General features: G+C 34.6%; 1 protein-coding gene across 3 annotated transcripts in view; it reads left to right on the top strand.

Moving 5' to 3' along the window:
* Window positions 1–7,505, top strand: part of NDNF (neuron derived neurotrophic factor) — a 36,923-nt gene that overhangs the window by 1,948 nt on the left and 27,470 nt on the right. The window lies entirely within an intron of this gene.

Here is a 7,505-nt window from a genome sequence, read left to right as displayed (position 1 = left end):
CCCCCCTCCACCCCTCCTCCTGCTGCCTCGCTTCCTGAACCCTTTTTCTTTTCTGACGGAGGGAATCTCCGCACCTCCTCCTCTCCTCCTCCCACCCGGTCCCTGAGCGCCTGTGAGAACCAGGGGAGTCATCAATGGAAATAAATAGGACTCCGCTCCATTCTCCGCCCCCTTCAAACAAGTAAAATCCTCCCTGGGTTCGGAGAAGTAGAGATAAAACATCCCTCCCAAGGGAGCGGTTGCAGGGGATTTGATGGGATTGAATTGTTTTATTATCTTGAAAGAAGTGATGGATGGATCCGAGAGGGAATATGTATATAAAGCAGAGTGTAGTGAGGGCGATCGGTATGATTATTCATTATTGTTTGTTAAGAGTGATAATAAGGCCGCAACCTTCGCTCAGACTGTGTTTATACTGGGGTTTGAGTTTATGTCAGTCTCTTATTACAGTGGTTTCAGAAAGTGAAAACACCAAAACCGTATTAATTCTTCAGTCATTCTGCATATGGGATTAATCAAATGTCAAAAAAGATACTGTCGTTTTACCACAGTTTTAATCTATGATCTTTTAGAAGGTTGCACTCTTATAAAATGTCATTTGCCTCCATCTGTCTTCTTAAAGTTTAAAAAACTTGGCAACATAATTAATTATGGTCCCAATTCCCATTTTCAATCTAAACCTATATTCAGGATTATATTAAAATACCCCATCATTTATTCCTCAGAAGTGACTCTTATGAGTTTAAACTCTTGGAGGGGAGAGAGGGACAACTGGGAATGAGGGGCCTAGGAGTTAGATAAATTAGTACTATTTCAGATTTCTCTAAAAATTCCTTTACTTCTTCCTTTAGAGAAAGAAATTACAAGGTCCTTCTCTGCACAGTTCATCACTTCAGTGAATGCCCTTAATCTTTACCACACACTTGAAACATAACAGCTTGCAGCCTTGTCTGCATTATTGCTTTCATTTTTGTGTCAGGACATTTTATTCATTAAACCTGTATGTCAAAGACTTAGGCTTAGTGTGGCAGTAACACTCTGTTTTAATTAGTAACTATCATAAAAAAGAAGCTAGAACTCTGTAATAGGCCTAAATTGCTATGAATTATGTTTGGTTTAAATTACGCATTTATTTCAGCAGAAATGAAACCATGAATATAAAACATCTTTTAATCACTTGCAGATACAGCTTTTATCTCTTAGGATGTAACAAAATATGTAATTGAAAAATATCCTTCTAAGGACAAGAGAAGCCCCCACCCTCAGCTTATTTGTCCTGGGTCTGTTTAACATTCATATGGTGAAGTATGAATGTTAAAGAGTAAAGACTATTGTCACAACATTGCCAATACCAGGTCGATGGAATGCTACCTTGGAAATAGCCACAGTAGGTCAGTCGTCAGCTTAATGTAGAGACTTTTCTAGTTGGCTGCGTGAACCTTGTTGTTTCAGATTTTAGTTTTCTCACTTGGATTTATCGACCAGACTCTGTTGTGGAAGGGAGAAAAATGTATTTTAAAACTCTAACAAATTATTTGACATGAAGGGGAGAAAAGTAGAAATAAAGTGTATCTCTTCTCTTCCTATATTTATTTCTATAGCAATTCTCTTCAGCCTATCTAGAGGTCAGAATTTTTACTTTAAAACTGAATGTGTTTTTGTTGTCGTCGTTAGGACTTATCATTTTGGTATGATGGATGAGCAGATATTGGAAATGGAATAATGATGACTGAATCAACCGAGAGCATAGGAACAGAGTGTGAATTACACATCATATGTGCTAATTAAGATTATTTTAATCTCCTTTCCTTAGTTTCTCCATGATAAGGTGGTCGATAGTGACCAAGTAGTGCTCTCTCTCTCTCTCTCTGTCTCACTTTTTTGCTACCTGCCTTCTTGTCAGGTCTTGCTTTGGGGACCTATACACCTATAGTAGCAGCTGAACCTTGCCAGTCAGTGGCCATCAGCTAATCACTTGGAAGAAAATATGTCTCATAGTCATCTGTATTGGGTCAAAGGCAGGGATACCCAATATAACCAACAAAATAGTTCAACTAATTCATTTGACCCTGAAATAATATCTAGAACCTCTAAATGTTTATTTTAGAATGATTATTCTAAAGAACACAATTTATTCTTCCCCTGTGGGCTCATAATCATTTAATAGAAGCCACAGCGTGGTTGATAGTAAATAGTAAACCCCACAAAATCTTTGCTTTGAAAGCTGATTTTAAAATCAAATCCTCCAGGATTTAAATACTCTATTTTAAAATACTTTGCATTTTATTCCCTGAAGTTAGGATAAATTCTGCTGTATTTTTCCACTGTATTACAAATGTAACATTACGTGACACTCAGCATGCATGCAGTCAAGCTTCCATGTTAATTTCCTCCTAGAAAAAAAAAGTAAATACTTTGCTGCTGTTGTTAAAAAATAATCATGTAGTATGAGACAGAAAAACAAGAATGCTAATACTTTATTGTATCACATGGTGGTATGTTGACCATAAACTCAGTTATATTTTTGTTGAAAATCACACCATTTCAGTGTAAGTCTGTTTGCTTGGCTGTGTGTATTTCACGTATTTCTTGCCTCTTCTGAGATGACACCTGGCATTTGCTGTACCAGTGCCTAAGCCAGTGCCAAAAGCAGGTGTATCCTTGGCTGCTTCCTTCCTAAACACACAACCCAAAGAAGCAATATCCACACCTTTCCCCTTCCTTCTGGTACTTTACTAAAAACTGCAAACCAACAAACACATGAATTTTAGTCTTTTGAAATATTTGGAAAACATGTAATATATAATGTTAATTCCCCCAATAAAAAAAGTTGTGGCTTGTTTTGATTTTAAAAATTAAGGGTAACAAATTTGATCAATGTGGTATAAAAGCAAACTAGCAAAATGGTCTGTAGATTTTTCACTTTGGGATAAAGAGACAAATTTGGCCACAGAACAGCTGGGTATTTGGCCCTATTACAATGCCAATTTTTTTCAAGGAACTCATTGAGTTAACTTTGATTTAAACTTCACTTTAAAGTCCACAAACCTCAAGTTTATGAGAAAAGTATAGAAACTTTCAAGATATATGTCATCATTCTTTCAATAACTTCCATATCCTTTGGAAACTGATTTATTTTAGTAAGTTAGTTAATAGGTCTTGGTTTTCGCTTGTTAATTTTTTCTGTAACAAATTTGAACATGACACATTTAATATTTTATATATTTCTCTGAAGTATTTATTTTTAGCTTCACTTATGAAAACTCTAAAATGAATCTTTTCTTTAAAAAAATGTGGCTAGAGGTAGTAGTATAAATGTATAATTTATCAAATGTCTCTTTTAATTCTTCTTTTAAAATAATTTGCCGTCTTTTTTATAGTTAAAAGAAAAACTTTTTTAGGAATAATGGTAAGGTTATATAAAGTTTGGAGAGTACTCAATAAAAATATGATTACGCGTGATTGGGAATCAACTCATTTGAGTGGAACTCTTAGACACTGCCTCCACAGCGTGGAGACTTTTAAATATAAAAACCAAATTATAAAAACAATTCACAACATGCATGCACGTTTGCTTTCTAATTGGAATGATTTCAGCTAATATCACAAATAGTGGTGACCAGCTGAAGTAAATGGAGACTGTACAAGTTTCTGTCAGTGTTTCTTCTCTCTAAGCGGAAATCAAGGTAAACACCCTCTTCTTCCAGCTGTGTGCTCTGAGAACATATATTCCACAATCTAAAAACATAGCCAAAAATATGGACTATATTCAAATATGTGTTTTATCAACAACTGAAAATCACCATATCTTGTCTTCTGAGGCAATGCTGTTATATACACAGATGTAGATAGAATATGAGCCTGAAATTTAACATTTTCTAAAATAAGCAGTAAAATCTGAACTCATAATTAGACCTCTAAAATATGACATCTTGTTTTTGAAATCACCATGACTGTTTTTAAAATTTATAATGTAGGAACTATGAACAAATTGGTATATACAAGACAGACAATGCCCTATCCTGGCAGTTGGCAAACAAACTGTTGGCAGACAGTTAGGGGTAGTGTTGTGGTACTTACTTGAAAATACTATATTTAAGAGAGAAAAACCAGTATAATAGGGCCTGATTGATTTATTTAGGATTACTTTGTCCAATTTAGCTGTTACAAGTGTATGGTGACTTCTGGAGTGTAGATGGTTATAATTTATATATTAGAAATATATACTGCTGGATCCTGTAATTGAAGAGAGATTTGTTGCCAACAGTGGGACAGATCAGAAACACCAGCGCTAGCTAAGACACGTAGTAAACTGGGGAAAAACATCAGTCGTTTAACTCTGTGCCTCCCTGAGTCTCTGATATTGTTAGTTCTTCGGGTGCTATGAAAATATGTTACTTTTTATGGAAAAAGAAAACTGCCTCTTAAATGAGAGATAAACATTTAACACTCTAATGATAGCAATAGCAGGATTCACCATACTAATAGAACTAACAGATGGGTTACATGAGAGATGGCCTTAGAGGTACCAGGGAAGCCACCCTGCTCCCAGGGCCTCTCAGGGTACCAAAACACTACCTGAAAAAATATGCTTTTTTTTAACTTTTAAATTAATTTTATTTTTAACTTTTACATTAATTAATTTATATTTAACTTTTAAATTAATTTTATTTTTCAGTGTCCTCTATAAATATGAAAATATCTCTGCAATGGGAAATGGGTAAACTGATACCAGCTAACATTTTACAAAGATATTTTAATAACTAGATAAAGCCAGATCACTTAAGACAACATTTTAGAAGGGGTTATTTTATACATATATATGTATAAAACATATGTAAAATATATGTGTGTGTGTGTGTGTGTGTGTATTTCATTCTTTACACATAAAAGTGAATATAAATAGATCTTTTGGTATTTCCTTCTTACACCATAATGGGCAATTTGTGCCCCACAATGAAGCAAAGAGGACACCCCCTTTTAGAGACCTCTGCTTTACAAGGTTGACACTATCAGAAGCTGTCCAGGAATTAGAAAAGGACATTTGAAATTATCTTTGCAAGGTTAGACCCAGTGAATATTTGCATTTAAAAGCTTGTCTTTTAATTACAGTAAAGTGGAGGATACAAGATACTCTTTTAAACAATCGAAGGTTGCCCATTGCCTCTAAAATCGTACTGAACAGATATTCAGCTTCTGTTAGTGTCAACCTTGTAAAGCAGAGGTCTTTAAAAGGGGGTGCCCTCCTTGCCTCATTGTGGGGCAAAGATTGCCTCATTATGGTGTAAGAAGGAAATACCAGAAGATCTATTTATAGTCACTTTTATCTGTAAAGAATGAAATCAAGTTTTGTGAATATTACTTAATACTATATCAATTAACGAAAGCACTCTTACTCAGGATATCAGATGGTCATGGAACAACAAAGAACGGCAGAGGTGACAGCATGTATGAAGCAAAATTAATGCAAGATAAAAATAATGACATTCTGCTAGGTGCAGTGGCACAGTTATAATCCCAGCTGCTAAGGAGGCTGAGGCTGGAGGACCACTTGAGCCCAAGAGTTTGAGGCTGTAGTACACAATGATCTCCCTTGTGAATAGCCCCTGCGGTCCAGCCTGGGCAACATACTGAGACCCCATCTCTAAAAATATAATAATAATAATGACATTATAATCAGCCCTGTTTATAAAACACCCCTGAAATTAACCAGAAAAAGATTTGAAATGTACAATTATATCTACTGTAATTGTCTATGATACTCATCCCAGTGTAGAGAGCTTTTAAGTATTTTTTAATGTATTATAAGTATGTATGTGTGTATTCAGACACACCCACACAAACCCACGCACACGCATACACACTTTTTTAAATCACAATTCTAAGAGGTTTGGAGACCTCAGACCTCAGACCACACATTACTGAGTGAGAGACGTTGAAAAGAATTGAGCAAGAAGCTGAAAAAGCTCTCAAATTAGTCACTATTTTCAATATTATTCTGTTATTTGTAGAGGTATTTCATAATTCCTCTTTTATGTATAAATGCATATTGTGCCCCATTATGTTTTGAAAATATCAGTAATCTGAGAGTTTAAAAAGTTCCATCCAACATTTTTTATGTATATTGTGTTATATTTTGAAGTTTTTCTTTGAAATTATATTTTTTCTTAGTAATGTTGTCAGTTGTTAACTAATGTTAAAGTTGTTTCCATGCTTTGAATTTCACAATGGAAGCAGAAATGATTCTATTTATTAATAATAATAATATATCTTTGTATAACCCTTGATTGTTTACAAGGTACTTCCACATCCATCACTTTCCTTAACCCTCACAGCAACCCAGTGAGGAAGATATTCTATCCTTCTACTCCTGATAAATCTGACTTACCTAAACTCACATAAACTTTTTAAATAAAGTTGTAACTCTTTGGTTTTAGAAGCAAAATTGATGAAAATGTTTAAAAGCTTAAGCTGAGATTAGTTGCCACATTAATTTGTCTGGACAATTTGCTTAGAAGTTTTTTACAATTTAATTATTCAGAATACCACTTATTTAGCCTAAATCCACAAGACCATAATTGTAGACTGTCTATGCACTCACTGTTTGTTTTTGGTAATAGTTAACTTCTTAGGGAATTTTTAAAGGGGAAACTGATTAAACTCTTTCACTTGTAGATAATTATTTCAGGTAAAACAGAAACAAAACTTACCTTTGAGAGTAAAAAGCACCAGTTCTAAATGGCACAAAGGGCTAACAGTGATAAATAATCCCCATATCTCTCCTTCTAGAAGGTTAGTCTTTTTTAACAGGGGAAATCACTGAAAGTGAAGTGGAACATCAGTCTCTGAACACGCGCAGGTTCTGATGTAAACCTCCCATGGCCCCCCCGACACCCCCAATCACCATTTGCATAGATTCTCCTCTAATCATAAAAGGTAAACTAGGTTATCAGTTTACTTTATTAAGTCTACTTATAGCCTGAAATCATCTGTTGAAGTCAAATTTTCTCTCTTCAGCCCTCCTTTTAATTAGTCCTACTAACCCAGTCATTCAAATCCGGGTATTACAATGTTCTAAGATATGCTATTTGTTGAGTTTGATTTCTCCTCTCTCACTCTGTGTGTGTGTGTGTGTGTTTATGTGCACATATGTGTAATAGACAAAGCCTTTCACATACCTTAGAGACAAGTTATCGGAAAAAGGAAATAATAAAACATATTTTCTTCAGTAAATAGAGCCCAATAAGAAAATTTGGGATTAGAAAAATAACTCAAAAGTTTATTAGAGACACATAACCCATGATATTGAAACATATTCCAATTATTATGGTAGCTGCAATCACTGAAAAATCAAGAAGCTGCAGAATCCTCTGTGAAATTAGTAGCAATTAGTAATTTACCTATCAAGTTGTTCCATTATAATGTTAATTATGTGGCATTCTTGAGAGGCAAGAGTTGAGGTTAGATCAGTTCTAAGATTTTTAAAATTATTTTTAAATTAGTTT

Source organism: Homo sapiens, chromosome 4 (assembly GCF_000001405.40).
Source record: "Homo sapiens chromosome 4, GRCh38.p14 Primary Assembly".
Classification (NCBI taxonomy): Eukaryota; Metazoa; Chordata; class Mammalia; order Primates; family Hominidae; genus Homo; species Homo sapiens.
Note: the sequence above shows the minus strand (reverse complement) of the source record. Positions and strands in the feature narration are given on the sequence as shown.